Source organism: Homo sapiens, chromosome 2, assembly GCF_000001405.40.
Source record: "Homo sapiens chromosome 2, GRCh38.p14 Primary Assembly".
Lineage (NCBI taxonomy): Eukaryota > Metazoa > Chordata > Mammalia > Primates > Hominidae > Homo > Homo sapiens.
This window is the reverse complement of record NC_000002.12, coordinates 91,768,679-91,785,907: the sequence shown is the minus strand read 5'-3', so window position 1 is coordinate 91,785,907 and position 17,229 is coordinate 91,768,679. Positions and strand designations below refer to the sequence as shown.

The following is a 17,229-nucleotide window of genomic DNA, read 5'->3' as shown; positions in this document are numbered from 1 at the left end:
ATTATTTACTTTCAACATATGTGAAATATGAATATAAATTATAAAAACTTAGAGTCCATTTTAAAAATCTGGTCTGGTTATATTTTACCTGGTTTAATACAACGTGCATTATTGAATTCAGGGTCTAATATAATTGGTACATTTGTCTATTTGCAAAAAAAAAAAAAAAACTTGACAATATTTTAAAATTAATTTATCCAACTCACAACTTATATGCTTCTGCCGTTGTATGGAAGATACATTTTAAACTTAATGAGATAGCATTCTGTTATACAGTCGATATCCAATTAAATTTCTCTCTATGTTTATTTCTTTCATTAAAAAAATTGTTCTTCTAAATGCAAACTTTCATCAGGGATCATGGCTCTTCTACCTGAAGAATAATCTTTAGTATTTCTTTTCCTGTGGGTCTGCTTGGGAGAAATTCTTTATTGTATCTTTGCTTTTGATGGATATGTCCACCAAGTAGACAGTTCTAGGTCAGCACTTATTTTATTTCAGGACTTGAAAGATATCAGTACCTCACTTGTTGGCTTTCGTTGATTCATTTGAGGAAGTTGTTATCAGTCAACTCTTTCTCTTTGTAGTTAGCCCAATTTTTTTATCAAGTGCTCTTTACATTTTTCTTTTACTTTTCAGAAATTGTCCCATTATGTTTCTAGATGTGTCCTCTGTGTGTGTTTTCCTTTGCTTTGAAAAGTCTCCTGAACCTGAGGTTTAATATTATTGGTCAATTTTGATAAAACCTCTAACATTGCCACTTAAAATGCTGTTCAGACAAGCTGTTTTCTCCTTCTTAGATTTCAACGTGTTAGATTATTACTCTATTCCTCATATTTTTTAAATGACCTTTCTCTACTATTTTTTTAAGTTGGTTAATCTGTATTAGTGTATATTTTGTTTTTTTATTTTATTTTATTTTATTATTATACCTTAAGTTATAGGATACATGTGCACAATGTGCAGGTTTGTAACATAAGTGTTCATGTGCCATGTTGGTGTGCTGCACCCATTAACTCGTCATTTAGCATTAGGCATATCTCCTAATGCTATCCCTCCCCACTCCCCCCACCCCACAACAGTCCCCGAAGTGTGATGTTCCCCTTCCTGTGTCCATGTGTTCTCATTGTTCAATACCCACCTATGAATGAGAACATGTGGTGTTTGGTTTTTTGTCCTTGCGAGAGTTTACTGAGAATGATGATTTCCAGTTTCATCCATGTCCCTACGTAGGACATGAACTCATCATTTTTTATGGCTGCATAGTACTCCATGGTGTATATGTGCCACATTTTCTTAATCCAGTCTATCGTTGTTGGACATTTGGGATGGTTCCAAGTCTTTGCTATTCTGAATACTGCCGTAGTAAACATACGTGTGCATGTGTCTTTATTGAAGCATGATTTATAGTCCTTTCTGTATATACCCAGTAAGGGAATGGCTGGGTGACATGGTATTTCTAGTTCTAGATACTTGAGGAATCACCACACTGACTTCCACAATGTTTGAACTAGTTTACAGTCCCACCAACAGTGTAAAAGTGTTCCTATTTCTCCACATCCTATCCAGCACCTGCCGTTTCCTGACTTTTTAATGATCGCCATTCTAACTGGTGTGAGTTGGTATCTCATTGTGGTTTTGATTTGCATTTCTCTGATGGCCAGTGATGATGAGCATTTTTTCATGTGTTTTTTTGGCTGCACAAATGTCTTCTTTTGAGAAGTGTCTATTCGTGTCCTTCACCCACTTTTTGATGGGGTTGTTTTTTACTTGTAAATGTGTTTGAGTTCATTGTAGATTCTGGTTATTAGCCCTTTGTCAGATGAGTAGGTTGCAAAAATTTTCTCCCATTTTGTAGGTTGCCTGTTCACTCTGATGGTAGTTTCTTTTGCTGTGCAGAAGCTCTTTAGTTTAATTAGATCCCATTTGTCAATTTTGGCTTTTGCTCCCATTGCTTTTGGTGTTTTAGACATGAAGTCCTTGCTCATGCCTATGTCCTGAACGGTATTGCCTAGGTTTTCTTCTAGGGTTTTTATGGTTTTAGGTCTAACATGTAAGTCTTTGATCCAACTTGAATTAATTTTTGTATAAGGTGTAAGGAAGGGATCCAGTTTCAGCTTTCTACAGATGGCTAGCCAGTTTTCCCAGCACCATTTATTAAATAGGGAATCCTTTCCCCATTTCTTGTTTTTCTCAGGTTTGTCAAAGATCAGACAGTTGTAGTTAAGCGGCATTATTTCTGAGGGCTCCGTCCTGTTCCATTGATCTATGTCTGTGTTTTTGTACCAGTAACATGCTGTTTTGGTTACTGTAGCCTTGTAGTATAGTTTGAAGTCAGGTAGCGTGATGCCTCCAGCTTTGTTCCTTTGGCTTAGGATTGACTTGGCGATGCGGGTTCTTTTTTGTTTCCGTATGTACTTTAAAGTCGTTTTTTCCAATTCTGTGAAGAAAGTCTTTGGTAGCTTGATGGGGATGGCATTGAATCTATAAATTACCTTGGGCAGTATGGCCATTTTCACGATATTGATTCTTCCAACCCATGAGCATGGAATGTTCTTCCATTTGTTTGTATCCTCTTTTATTTCATTGAACAGTGGTTTGTAGTTCTCCTTGGAGATGTCCGTCATGTCCCTTGTAAGTTGGGTTCCTAGGTATTTTATTCTCTTTGAAGCAATTGTGAATGGGAGTTCACTCATGATTGGGCACTCTGTTTTTCTGTTATTGGTGTACAAGAATGTTTGTGATTTTTGTACATTGATTTTGTATCCTGAGACTTTGCTGAAGTTGCTTATCAGCTTAAGGAGATTTTGCACTGAGACAATGGGGTTTTCTTTATATACAATCATGTCATCTGCAAAAGGGGACAAATTGACTTCCTCTTTTCCTAACTGAATACCCTTTGTTTCCTTCTCCTGCCTGATTGCCCTGGCCAGAACTTCCAACACTCTATTGAGTATGAGTGGTGACAGAGGACATCCCTGTCATGTGCCAGTTTTCAAAAGGAATGCTTCCAGTTTTTGCCCATTCAGTATGATATTGGCTGTGGGTTTGTCATAGATAGCTCTTATTATTTTGAGATACGTCCCATCAATACCTAATTTATTGAGAATTTTTAGCATGAAGGGCTGTTGAACAGCCTTGAACTCCTGGGCTCAAGTGATCCTCCAGCAGACCCTCCCCAGTAGCTGAGACTAAAGGCACAACTACACCCAGCAAATTTTAATTTTTTTTGTTGTGTTTTGCTATATTTCTTTTTTTTTTTGAGACGGAGTCTCACTCTATCGCCCAGGCTGGAGTGCAGTGGCATGATATTGGCTCACTGCAAGCTCCGCTTCCCAGGTTCACGCCATTCTCCTGCCTCAGCCTCCCAAGTAGCTGGGAATGCAGGCACCCGCCACCACACCTGGCTAATTTTTTTGTATTTTTAGTAGAGACAGGTTTCACTGTGTTAGCCAGGATGGTTTCAATCTCCTGACCCCGTATCCACATGCCTCGGCCTCTCAAAGTGCTGGGATTACAGGCGTGAGCCACCATGCCCGGCTGGGTTTTGCTATATTTCTTTTCACTATGCTTTGAATTTTTTGTTTTCTTGTTCCCCACCCCCACCCCCACTATATTTATGCAGATTCTCAATATTTTTTTTGTAGACTCACTATGTTGCCCAGGCTTGTCTTGGACCTCCTGGCCTCAACTTCTACCTCAGCCTCCCAAAGTGTTGGGATTACAGGCATGAGACACCAAGCTTGGCCTCAGAGGGCCTTTTCTCTCTTTTTTTTTTTTGAGATGGAGTCTCACTCTGTGGAGTGCAGTGGTGCAATCTCGGCTCACTGCAACCTCAGCCCCCCAGGTTCTAGCGATTCTCCTGCCACAGCCTCCCAAGTAGCTGGGATTACAGGCACAACCCACCATGCCTGACTAATTTTGCATTTTTAGTAGAGACAGGGTTTCACCATGTTGGCCAGGCTGGTCTTGAACTCCTGACCTCAGGTGATCCACCCACCTCGGCCTCCCAAAGTGCTGGGATTACAGACGTGAGCCACCGCACCTGGCTCAGAGGGCCTTTTCTAACTGGAGAATTCCTGCCGGTGTCCCTGCTGCTTGGCCTCTTCTCCTCACGATGAATGGATAGAGGGAGGGAGGGAGGCTCTTAATTCTCCTGGAGTCAGCTCCAGACAGACAGGGTATTGGCATGCCAATTTCCAGCCTCAGTGGTAAAGGTTGACACGCTAATCACCCTCCTCCATGAAACAGTGACAAAAATTACCTGAAGAAAGCCACAGCCAAGCTCCAGGCCCCTGCTCCACAAATCCCCTTCCCCATGCCTCTCTCAAAGCAACCCTCATCCCTTGTAACCCTCTTGGTGAATCAAAGCCCCCTCTACTGGGCCTTAGCCCAGCTGTTCCTCTGCTAGGAATCCCTTCCTCTCTCTGCCTAACGAAGTTATCTGCAGCCCAGCCACCACCTCCTCCAAGAAGTCCTCCTGGATCTTCAGGCTGTATTCTAGCGCTTCCCTAGCCCTGGCTCTTGCCTACACCTGCATTTACCCCAACAGGGACTTGCTCTCCTGGACTGTGTGGCCTCTCTTGGTTTTGATATAAGCAGGAGCTGTGGACCCACATGGCCAGTCACTGACCCTCCTCCACCAGGAACTTCCTGCAGGCTCAGGCAAGACAGGAGGACCCCATGGCTCTGGGCTACAGCTCAGGGTTTCCACTGCAGAGTTCCTCACCCAGGCCCTTGAGGTTACCCACTCACCAGCCGCCTGGATGTCCTTCACAATCTGGGCCATGAGGCTGCCGTTGTAGAAGGCCTGGGCACCCTCAATGGCCAGCGTCTCATAGGTGTCAGCCAGCCGCAGCAGGATCAGTCTCTCCCCCTCCCAAAGCACCTTTCTATCCCGGCAGAACACCTCACTGGGGCAGAGGGGGCTCATGTGAGGCAGCAGGTGGGGTGGACTTAGCTAGACCAACCCCCACACCTGCCCACACAGGAGACCAGCACAAAGCAGGGGCAGCGCCTGTCACGGGTGGGTGGCCCTGTCACTCAGCGCTCGTCCTCCTAGTGTCCCTTCCGGGAACCTCCTAGTGTCCCTTGCCACTCAGGACACATGGCCAGCCACAGTGGCCACTGGGACCCCATGCTCAGAATGTGTCCCCACATGTGGTGGGAAGGGTCTGTATCTCCTCATCCCATTATCAGCGCAGGGTCCTGAAGGCAGAGGGCCGCTCCACTGCTGCTACGGCCTGCAAGGTCCTTGGGCTGTGCCTGCCCTGCCTGTGTCAGGGGGCTGCACCCACAGACATACCACAAGACAGGCTGCTGCTCGATGACGGTCCGCTTGTTTTCCAGGGCTGCTGCCAAGCCCTTGCCCACGGGGAAGCCCTGGCGGGCCAGCTGGATGCTGGGCTGGAAGAGGCGAGCCCAGGGCAGCCGCCCATGCTGCTGGTGTGCCAGCTCATAGCCTCGGATCTCCCCAGGCACTGCCACCGACAGCCCTCCTGGGGAGAGAGAGCCACAGTTAGTGACCCTGAGTAGGGGACATCGGGATCTCTCGCAGGCAGCATCCCAGGCACAGTCCCTGACTCGTTTTACAGATGGGGCAATGAGGCTTAGGAGGAAAGATTTTTTTTTTCTTTTTTGAGTTGGCGTCTTGCCATCTTGCCCAGCCTGATCTCGAACTCCTGGATTCAAGCAATCCTCCCACCTCAGCCTCCTGAGTAGCTGAGATTACAGGCGTGAACAGCACACCCAGCAGAAGAGGATTTTTAATTTTTTTATTTATTTTTTAATTTTAATTTTTTTTTTAGGAGGGGATGTTTAATTTTTTTTTAAGAGGGGCTCAGCAGGTAGGAGTGTACATGGACCAGGGATGTCTGAGGAGGGCACAGGAGGGGAAGCAGTAGCATGTGGCTGGGTTTTGCTGTCCCAGGATGAGGTATCTGTCTGTGCAGGTGCCTACATGTCTAAAATCCTGTGCCAGGCCAGACCCCCTCCCATCTCACTGACCACAAGGCCTTATCCTGTAAGACTCATGGGCTCCACCAGAATGTGCCAAAACAAGAGCAGATCCCACCCTGACCCAGGTCAAGCACAGGCCACCTTCAAGACACAGCCAGCCCCAAGAAAGGGCTCCCTTCCTCTTTTCTACTGCCCCAGAGAGGCAAGACTGAGCCTTAACCTCCATCCTGTCCCCTCTCCCAGCCTCAGTTTCTCCATCCAACTATAAGGGTTTTTGTTTGTTTGTCTGTTTTGAGACAAGGTCTCACTCTGTTGTCCCAGCTGGAGTGAAGTGGTGCAATCATGGCTCACTGCAGCCTTGGCTTCCCAGGCTCAAGCGATCCTCCCACCTCAGCCTCTGAAGTACCTAAGACTACAGACATACCCCACTACATGTGGCTTTTTTTTTTTTTTTTTTTTGAGATGGAGTTTCACTCTTGTTGCCCAGGCTGGAGTGCAATGGCACAATCTTGGCTCACTCCAACTTCCACCTCCCGAGTTCAAGTAATTCTCCTGCCTCAGCCTCCCAAGTAGCTGGGATTACAGGCATGTACAACCATGCCTTGCTAATTTTTGCATTTTTAGTAGAGACGGGGTTTCACCAGGTTGGTCAGGCTGGTCTTGAACTCCTAATATCAGGTGATCCATCCTCCTCAGCCTCTCAGAGTTCTGGGATTACAGGCCTGAGCCACCACTCCCAGCCTAATTTTTTATTTTTATTTTTTGTAGAGACAGGGGTCTTGCCACGTTGCCAAGACTGGTCTCAAACTCTGGCCTCAAGCAATCCTCCCACCTCAGCCTCCCAACATGCTGGGATTACAGGTGCACCCAGTCTATAAGGGGTTTTGCCTTCCAGTTCTGACTTTTGAGGAGGTCATTGGAAACAGACCCCTGGGCCTGCTTCCCCCCTGAGCCCCACTGCCCATATGGACACTACAGACACTGACCCTTTGCCCAGAAAGGTACAACTATGGCCTCTGCCCCCAGGTATTCTCCTGCTCTTGCGAGAGATGATGGGGCCATTTGGCTTGGCTTGGCGGCTGCGGCTCTAGAACTGCCTCTCCCACCCTGAAGCCTGGCACAAGTTTCCAAGAGCTGGTGGTTTCAATTCCTAGAAGCTGCACATACATCCCGGAAGGTCTGACACCCAGCACATGATTCCTTCCACCTTGTAGTTAGACAGAAGTTCTTTTTTGTTTTGTTTTGTTTTTTTGTTTGTTTGTTTTTGAGATGGAGTCTTGCTCTGTCTCCCAGACTGCAGTGCAGTGGCATGATCTCAGCTCACTACAACCTCCGCCTCCCAGGTTCAAGCGATCCTCCTGCCTCAGCCTCCCAAGTCGCTGGGATTACAGGCACAGGCCAGCACGCCAGGCTAATTTTTGTATTTTTAGTACAGATGGGGTTTTGCCATGTTGGCCAGGCTGGTTTCAAACTCCTGACCTCAGGTCATCCACCCGCCTCAGCCTTCCAAGGTGCTGGGATGACAGGCATGAGCCACCGTGCCCAGCCAAGACAGGAGAAGTTCTAATCTTTGATAGCAGACCAGGGTGACGATGCTTAGCAACAGTATTTTGTATATTTCAAAGTAATGAAGAGAGGACTATGGTGCTAACACCCAGAAATGAAAAATATTCAAGGTGACGGAGACTCCAAATACCCTGCTTTGATCATTATACACTCTATGCATGTAACAAGCACTCACATGTACCCATAAATATAGAAAATATCATGTATCAATATCAGAAAAAAAATCTTCTCCTGACCTCAGGCCAATCAGACTCTCATGCCACCACACTTGCCAAGTTCTCTGGTGACCCCCACACTGCCAGACCCAGTGCCCCTCTCAGCTTTACTGGGCTCATCACTCTCCCTGAGAGCCTCCCCTGCATCCCATCACCTGTCTCCACCCGAGTATCCCCCGCCTGCCATCCTAGCTCCTACTCTCCCCTCTGTCTTTGCTCTCTCTCCTGGTGGTCTGCTTGACATCTGAGCTTCAGCCTCCATTTATGCACTGACAACTCCCAAATTGACCTGCTGGCCTGGACTGCTCCTCTGATAACCAGACCTGAGTATCTACCTGCCTGCTCGAAGAAAGCATCTCAAACTTCAACGTGCCCAAAACCGAGCTCCTGAGTGTCTGCTCAACCTGCTTCCTGAGAACCCTGCCTGTCTCCATTAGGGTCACCCCATCCTTCCAGGTACAGACAAAAGATCGGGGTCCCCGGGGACTCCCTACACAAGCATCACACCCAACCCATCCTCAAATCCACAGGCTCCACTTCCAAGTGTGTCTGTCCAGCATCAGCCACTTCCCAGCACCCTCTCCACGAATTACTGCAGTGACCTCCGGACAGGTCCCCACATGCTCCCTGCCCCTTACACAGCAATCCAAGGGGTTCATAGGCCAGATCCATCCCCTTCCACTCACACACTCCACGAGCCCCCACTTCCCTCAGACAGGAAGCAGAGGCTTCACCATAACCTAAGTGATCCCACACAACCTGGGCCATTTCCCTTGGGTCACTTGCTGCAGCCTCCCCAGCTCCCCACAGGGCTCTGTCCCTGCCATCACACCTGGATAGCAGACCAGGAGATAACTCCCCTGACCCCATCTCTGCCTCTGGGTCTTTGCTCAGATGTCCCCTTCCCTGACTAGGTCACCCTCCATAGAGTCCCAGATTTTGAGGCCCTCCAGGTCTGTTTTTCTACAGCCCGTAACACACCCGCACCTGCCTAGGTTCTTTTCCCACCTGGAGTGTCACAGATTTCATCTGCCATCTTTGTTTTTCACCCCAGCTTCAGGAACAACAGCTGATTCTTTAAGACAATGCTCAATACATTCTAGTTAAATAAATGATTCTAAGCATCCACAAGGTGCCAAGCCTATGATTCCCGCATTCTCTTACCCTGAGCAACTTCATGTCTACAGATGCTGAGTTTCTCAATGAGTATTAAAAACAAATGAAAGATTGGTGGGGCACAGTGGCTCACGCCTGTAATCCCAGCACTTTGAGAGGCAGAGGTGGGAGGATCACAAGGTCAGGAGTTCAAGACCAGCCTGGCCAACATAGCAAAACCCTGTCTCTACTAAAAATACAAAAATTAGCTGGGCATGGTGGCACATGCCTGTAGTCTCAGCTACTGTGGAGGCTGAGGCAGGAGAATCACTTGAACCTGGGAGGGGGAGGCTGCAGTAAGCCAAGATTGCACCACTGCCCTCCAGCCTGGGTAACAGAGCGATACTCTGTCTCGGAAACACACACACACACACACACACACACACACACACACACACACACACACACATTTGTTGGGCGTGGTGGCACACGCCTGTAATCCCAGCTACATGGGAGGCTTAGGCATGAGAATCGCTTGAACTTGGGAGGCGGAGGTTGCAGTTAACTGAGATTGCACCACTGCACTCCAGCCTGGCAACAGAGCAAAACTCCATCTCTAGATAGATAGATAGATAGATAGATAGATAGATAGATAGATAGATAGATAGATAGATAGATAGATATAGATAGATAGAAAGAAAGAAATAAGTAAAAATAGCAACCAAACAACAAAACAGTGGAGTTTATCCAAAGAGACAGAGACTCTTAGAACTGAGAAAAGGGGCCCTGTTTGGCTCTAGAGACCCACACCCTGCTCTCGGAGTCACCGTCCCCTTCCCAAAGGCTACTTAGAGAGTCCAAGCAAAGCTTACATGTGGGAAAACTGAGTCTCAGAGGGGTGAAGGTATTGCTCAGGTCCACTTGCCCAGTTTTCAGGGCCCATGTCCCATGCCCTGCCCCGCTCACCTCCCAATCTCCGAGCACTGCTTGGCATCTGCAGCCACGGCAGCCCTGGTGTACACATGGTTGTCAGGTTCCTTGGAGGCTGAGGGCAGTCAGAGACAGAGGCCGACAATGACCAGCACCAGGACCACGGCCAGCAGGCCCAGCACCACTAACTTCTTCTTCATGGCTCTGCTGCTCCCATGGGGTAAGGAGCAGGGTCAGGCCCAGCCTCAGACATTCCCTGGCACCTCCCCAGCAGGGCACAGTCTAAAGTTGGGCCTCAGAAACACAAGGCCTGTGTCTCCTTCCCGCTTCCCAGAACACGTGCAGGCTGTCCGGCCCCCAGACCTTTGTGCAGGCCATGCCCTCTGCCAGAAGCTCTGGGCCTCATCTCTGCCCTCCCAAATCCTCCCTGCTTATCTTCAGAGCCCATCCTGGTAAGAACCCCATCTCCAGCAGCGGCCCTTCCTGGGAGCCCCCAGATTTCCACACCCCTCTTTCTGCAGGGCCTTGCCTACCTCCTCACAGTGGCTGAGCCTCCACTGCTTAGGGAGAAGCTCCAGTAGGGATGGGCCTGGCCTGGTTTCTCCTGTGTCCCCCACCTCAGCCTAGAGCCTGGCACTGTCCAGGAGTCCTCTGAAGGCCCTCCACCCCACCTGGAGCATGGGGTTTAGCTTCCATAGTGCCCACAATCAGAGCACCCCACAGATTCACTGCCACGGGGCCAGGACTTACTGTCCAGCAGCAGACGGGGGCCCCAAGCCTTGCCTGGGGTGTTGGTCACGAAAGACAGGAGGATTTGGTGGAAACACCTGAGGAAACAACTGGGGTCTCCCTCACACTCTGCTGAAGCCTGTAGCCACAGAATCTTCTTCAGAGACTCTGATCAGGCAGCCTTCTCGTTCTCCTGAAGGTCAAGGGAGGTTACCTGAAGCACGCGCAGCCCAGACCTTTCTGGGGGACTCCGTGTTACCTCCCTCTGCCTCTAGCTGGTTTCTCTGTCTCCATTTGAACTCTGGAGGCAAAGAGGCTGTCAGTAACACATTTGTTTCCATGAATTCTCTCAGCATGTCTCCCAGGCACAGCTCAAAGAGGGTTTTGCATGGAGCAGGGCAGGTAGGGGACAGGGCATTCCTGCAGAAGCCCAGGATGTGCATGTGGTAAGCATGGCAAAGGGGGCTCAAGGGGCACTGCCAGCCTGCCCTGCTCTGACGCTGGACTTGCCACTCACCTGCTGTGGGGCCTCAGGCAAATCACTGAACTGTCCAGCCTGGATGACGGCAGCACCTCACTTGCCTTGCTGCTGGGAGTGTTGTGAATAGAGTAGGTTAGACTGTGGGCAGGACTTGGTGAATGGTAGCTGTGATTATCATCATGGCTGCACTGGGGACACCCCCAGGAGGCCTGAGTGGCACAGGTCTCTTGCTCACTCTATGTCCCCTGTGGACTCCCTTCCAGGCTGTGCAGTGAGTGGCAGCAGTGACCCTTGGGAAGTCTCATGGCTATGGCAGCAGGTGACAGGTGTGACAACAGGGAAGAGGGATGTGGTGACAGAGGTTGGGGTTCCCCTCTCCCACAGTCAGTTTCCCACAAAGGGCGGTGTCTGCCAGCAAGCCCCTCCAATGAGCCCCAAGCTGGGTTTCCCTCCACTCCACCCTGTCCCAGTGCAGAGCATCTGACCTCAGAGGTAGACACACTGTCCCAGAGGTAGTCTAGGAATGGAGTCCCTGTGCCCTCCCCACACACAGGGAACATCCAAATGCCATCGTGGAAGGGTGGTCACCTCCCCAGGCTTGGTGGGCCTGGGGCCGATAGTGTGATACATTTGACCCCCTCCCAGCCCTGGATGCAGACACCAAGAGCAGAGAGACCTGGCAGTAGTCATGCAGCGCACCACCCCACATCCCCAGCACAATCCAAAGCAGCCCCTCATCCCCACCGTGACCACCACAGCCTGAATCCAGGCGCCACCTGTTTCTGACCTGAACTCCCTCACAGCCCCTGCCTGCACTCCCTCCCTCCAACATCGCCTGCCCTTCAGTCTTCCAGAAAGCAGCTAGAGGGCTCTGTCTGTCCAACTACAGAACAGGCCCTGCCTCCTCCTTGCCCTGTTGGACAGCTCACACCCTTCACCAGGCCTGACAGCGCTCTTGCCACTCCAACACCCCGGGTCCCAGCCGGGAGTCCGGGTCAGGGTTAAGGGTTCCTGATAGAGACACCGATTCCTGGAGGTCCAAAGAGCCTCAGGAGCTGGGCCAGCAATATGCAGCATCTATTATGGACACAGAACATTCCCATCACATGGCCGGGTACAGTGGCTCACGCCTATAATCCCAGCACTTTGGGAGGTAGAGGCAGGTGGATCACCTGAGGTGAAGAGTTGGAGACCAGCCTGGACAACATGGTGAAACCCCCATCTCCACTAAAAATACAAAAAATTAGCCAGGCATGGTGGCAGGTGCCTGTAATCCCAGCTACTCAGGAGCTGAGGCAGGAGAATTGCTTGAACCCGGGAGGTAGAGGTTGCAGTGAGGCAAGATTGCACCACCGCACTCCAGCCTGGGCAACAAGAGGGAAACTCTGTCTCAAAAAAAAAAGCAAAAAACAAAAACAAAAGGACATTTCCACCACAAGTCATGGGGCAGGGGCCTGGCCTGGTCAGTGACCCTGTCCTAGCATGACAGCCCCCTGCACCAAGGAAGCTACCCAGTCCCGTCCACTGGGCCGGGTCATGCTGAGTGCCCTGGAGGGCATGGCCTCATCTCTCCCAGGCTCAGGGTCATGAGCTGAGCCCCCGTTCAGGGTCCTGGGGTGGTCCAACCATGACCCAGCCTCCCCTGTCTGTTAATCTGTCTACCCAAAGGCCCAAGTAGGCACCTGGAGGAGCAGGGGGCATCCAGCCAGGCTCAGACTGCTGGGAAGAACAGGGAGGGGAGTAGGCAGTGCTGGGCCCTGTCCCTTCCTCCCAGGGCAGGTCAGCAAGGGAGGGTGGGCCCAGCCTCCCACAGGCAGATGTCCCCGGCTCGGAGGAAGACATCCTGCTGAGGTCCTGGGCTTCCATTTCCCATCCCTCCACCCTCAAAACTCACTGAAAGAATGTCCAAGCCCAGAGGCCTGGTTCTCACCCAAACAGTGTGAGAGCTGCACACACTAGGGGAAACTGAGGCTAGAAAGTAGGTCAGCTGCCATGGTTGGCCTCAAATCCAGACCCCCTTCCTTGTGACCCTGATGGGCTTACCTGAGGCCTGGGGACAGTGGGGGCCCAGGAGAGCACCTCTTCCTCAGAAGACAGTTCTGGGCTGCACCCGCTGGGGAGGAAGAAACAGACTTGTCTGCCTGGGAAATTCCCAGCCACAGAACTGGCTGGGCCCCCCCCCCTCCAGAGTGGCTCAGAGCCACGCCTGCGGCCCCCTGCAGCACTCCTCAGGGGGCCTCCGAATTGGGACTGGGATCTAGGGGTGGCCACCTCCGAGGAGGAGCAGAGGCAGGGAAAGAGCAGGAGCGGCCGGAGGACCCATGAGCTTACCTAGTCCAAGAGACCAGCCAGGGGGTGCCCAGCAGCCCTGGTGGACAGTGGGAGGCATCCGCACAGGGTGCAGGACAGGCAGGCCTCTCACAGAGATCCAGCCTGGCTGGGAGGATGGGGAAGCTGACGTCACAGCAGCAAGGAGGCGCACAGTGACTTGGCACGGTGACTCGGCCTGTCACCACATGACTAAAGTTCACGCAGCCCTGGCAGGGCCCTGGATGGCAGATGCTATGAGCTGGGGAAAGGGTTTCCTTCCCTTCAGACTCAGTTCCCTCTAAAGGGCACTGTCTGCCCACAAGCCCCTCCAGTGAGCCCCAGGCTGGGTCCCTCTGGCTCTCCCTGTCCCTGTTCAGAACATCTGAACGCACAGCCAGTGTCCCAGAGATGGCTCTGGAGGCGGTGGAGTAGTGGTGCCCCTGGCACTAGACCAGAACCCAGACTAAGGGGCCTCACCACACGCTGCTGTCAATGCTAAAGGTGTGTTCCGGGAACATGGCCTGGGGCCCTGAGTGCAGACTGGTTCTGCTGCCCATCCAGAAACATTAGCACCCCAGGCCCAAGGAACCACCTGAACAGCCCAGAAAGGCAGGGCCCAGAGAGGGCCTGAGCTGGCCCAAGCTCACAGAGCCCAGCAGTGCAGACTTGGCCACCTGGTAACTGCCCCAAGTTACTGCATGTTTCTGACCAGCCCACCAAGAAGTCTGAGCCAGGAACAGCTGCGGACCCAGCCCAGGGGACTTTGGACAGTGCTGCCCATTCCCCTGTGGCCCTCATCTGCCAACGATATGGGCCAGAGTCTCCCTGAGTCATGGCTCCCTCCCCTGATCCTGGCCTGCTGTGTCTACAGTGCCGGAGAGCCCCTGCAGCCTCCACCTGAGGTCTATTCCGTGCCCATAACACCTACCCCACAATCATCCTTCCAGGCTGCCCCAAGCTGACAGAAGGGGACATGAAGGCTGACCCAATATTGCTGCCTGCCTGGGTCACATAGGCCTGTCCTGTCATCCACTGCTCTCAAATGGGCTCTAGACAGAACCCACCAGACACACGACTGTGAGATCCTCAATAGCCCTAGGGTGGAGGTGCTATGACCAAGTCCTTTCTCAGGCTATTCCTCCCCCTGAAGATCAGGGTGACTGGGAAGATGACAGGGCAGGAACCAAGGCCCCATGACCTGTCCCTGAAGGCTAGACAGCCAACAGGAACATCAGGGGATTTGGCCCTGCTAAGTGGCTGCATTCCATGGCAGTCAGCCGGGAGGGGTCTAAAGTGGAGAGCCACAGGGCTCTGTCCCCTGCCCTGCTCAGCAGTTTCCTCTCTGCCTGAGAGCATATAAGACATGCATGTTCTCACTCATAGGTTGGAATTGAACAATGAGAACACTTGGACACAGGAAGGGGAATATCACACACTGGGGCCTGTCGTGGGGTGAGGGGAGGGGGGAGGGATAGCATTAAGAGATACACCTAATGTAAATGACAAGTTAATGGGTGCAGCACACCAACATGGCACATGTATACATATGTAACAAACCTGTACGTTGTGCACATGTACCCTAGAACTTAAAGTATAATTTTATATATAATACTATATATAATACATTTATATATTATATTATGTAAATTACATAAATATAATAATTATATAATATATTTTATATATATATGTATATGACATACAGGATTCACAGCAGCAGGTGGGCAGGAAGAAAGTCTGAGTGGGTAAAGGATGGCCCAGATCCCTGCAGCTGACCCCAAAAGGAAAACCCTGGGCTGGGGAAAGTAGGGAGGCAGAGCTGCCTTCAATGGGGCACAGCTGAAGCCTGGCAGCAGCTGAGGATTCCAGAGAGGGGAGACAGGAGGGGAGGCACTTTATCAAAGGACATGTTAATAGAGGTAGGGCCTACAGAATGAAGGAGGCTTTTCCTCACATGCTGAGTGTGTCACATTCTGTCCCAGTCAGCCCTCTACCCCCTGAATGCAGAGAGGGCACCTAGGGGGAAGTGGGTCTGGGGAAGCCATGTCACCTGAGGAAAGACTGCAGGGGCTGGCCTAGAAGTCTTCTCCAGACCCCACAGCTCTTGTCCTGGGCACATAAGGTAGTGAGTTCCCTGTCCCGAGAAATGTGCAAGCCTCACTCACCCGGAGACACTGACTCTGGTGTCAATACCACCCACTTCCAACACACGTGCAAGCACGTGCACACACACACAACTGAGCCTCATCTAGGCTGAGCAGAGCAGCTTCCCAGGATGCAGCAGAGAGAGGAGTAGGAGGAAGAGGTAGACAAGGCAGCCAGTCTAAGGTTTCCTGGTTAATCCTTCAACCCAGCTTGATGGCTTTGTCACCACAACCCCAGAGCCACAAGGGTGAAACCAGAGCACAGTCCCAATCCCATTCACAGGCAGGAAACTGAAGCTTAGACAAAAGGGATTTACCGAGGTCAGCTGGCCCCAGGAAGTCTGCAGACCTGCGGGTGAGCCCGGGACCCACCCACCCCTTACCCTGCCAGCCCCCAGCCTGGAGTCGCTATCCCTGGATATGAGAATGTACAGATCTCTGGCTGCTTCCCCAGGACCATCTACACCCCTGGACTGGATGCTTACTACCCAGATGTGGAGTTGGAATCTGTCTCTCACAGTTTCCACCCTTGCGGCACAGAGTTGAGAATCAGAAAAAACACCCCTTCAGTAAGATTTAGTAACCACTACCTGCTGGAAACCTGTCGAAAGAACTATATATATCCCTATATATATAGCTGAGAGGTGGCAGGTGCCCCCTGGAATTGGGCAATGACCCCTCACACAACCGGCCCTGCCCCACCCCAATCCACAGCCACAAACAGAACCCAGGAGTGAGGCAAGCATGGCCCAAGGACACAGGGTCCCCCAACCCCATCACAGCTCTGGCTCTACTCCAGAGCTGACCCCCCACCCCCACTCAGGGCTGCCAGATCCTCCAGGGCCTGTTTGTTCATGCTGCACTCTTTCCTCTTAATTCCAAGAAGCCACGGCTCTCTCAAGAGCTTCTTCGCACAAGTCAGGTGACTCCCCCCAGCCCTCCTTTCACCCACCCACATACCTCACTCAAACTCACATAAACTCATCAGCCAAGAAACAGAGGCCCCCCCAGCCCAGACCCAGTAGGATAAAGAACCCACGGCTCTCCCCTTCTGTGGGATCCCTCTGCAGGATGCGCCCACACAAGTCTTGCCCCCTTCACCCCGAAGTGCAACTCACTCCCACTGCACGGGTATATAAACCGAGGCTCAGAGAGGAAGAGGAACTCCTCTAGAGAGCAGCAAGCATATGGCAGAGCTGAGAATGGGACTCAGGCCTCCAGACACTCATGGGAGTGCCCTGACCTGAGCTTCCCCACCTATGATGTTCACCAGCTCAGAGAGGGTGAGTGGCGCCTCTGGGTCACACAGCACTGGGGCGCAGCCAACTGCTCTCACTTCTGGGCTCACCCGATGCCCGGTCTGGTCGTCCAGCAGCACACCAAAACCAAGCTAAGATTCCCTGCTGTGACCCAGCTCCTCCTTCCCTCCCCCAGTGGCCTGGGGGAGGGGCGGGGGGGAGGGGAGGCTTTAAAGGCACAGGAACTGCTGCAGGTGGGATGTGGGCTGGCTCCTGGTCCCATCCCTGGGGCTGTGTGATCTGGGACAGGTGCAGGCTGCAGGTCTCTCTGAGCCCGGTGGGGTCTCAAACCCTGAATGAGAGACCTGAACTCTGAAAGCCTCGGTGGGGCTGAATGAGGCTGGGTTTCAGCAGGAGGCAGATTAGACCAAAGGTTCCCTGGGAGATGGGGCCACAGAGCTGGGCTGCAGCCAGATGCCCATGACAGGAGGAGCTGGAGATGTAAGCATCTGAGGCCCCACAAGGTCTGAGGAGCCTAGATCACCTCTACAACCCCAGGGCAG

At 51.6% G+C, this 17,229-nt stretch overlaps 1 pseudogene across 1 annotated transcript, besides 1 other annotated feature; it reads right to left on the bottom strand.

The window, feature by feature from the left end:
• Positions 221-722: an enhancer, noted in NCBI's record as "NANOG hESC enhancer chr2:91973212-91973713 (GRCh37/hg19 assembly coordinates)". NCBI's record gives its function as "activates a minimal SCP1, AML or CMV promoter by ChIP-STARR-seq in primed H9 embryonic stem cells {active_cell/tissue: H9 hESC(primed)}" and the evidence as "EXISTENCE:reporter gene assay evidence [ECO:0000049][PMID:30033119]".
• GGT8P (gamma-glutamyltransferase 8 pseudogene) lies at positions 3,781-10,566 on the bottom strand (annotated as a pseudogene). Its single transcript, NR_003503.1, is given in 2 exon segments — positions 3,781-5,498; positions 9,801-10,566. The product of NR_003503.1 is annotated as a gamma-glutamyltransferase 8 pseudogene (transcript).
• Between the last annotated feature and the right edge of the window lie 6,663 nt (positions 10,567-17,229).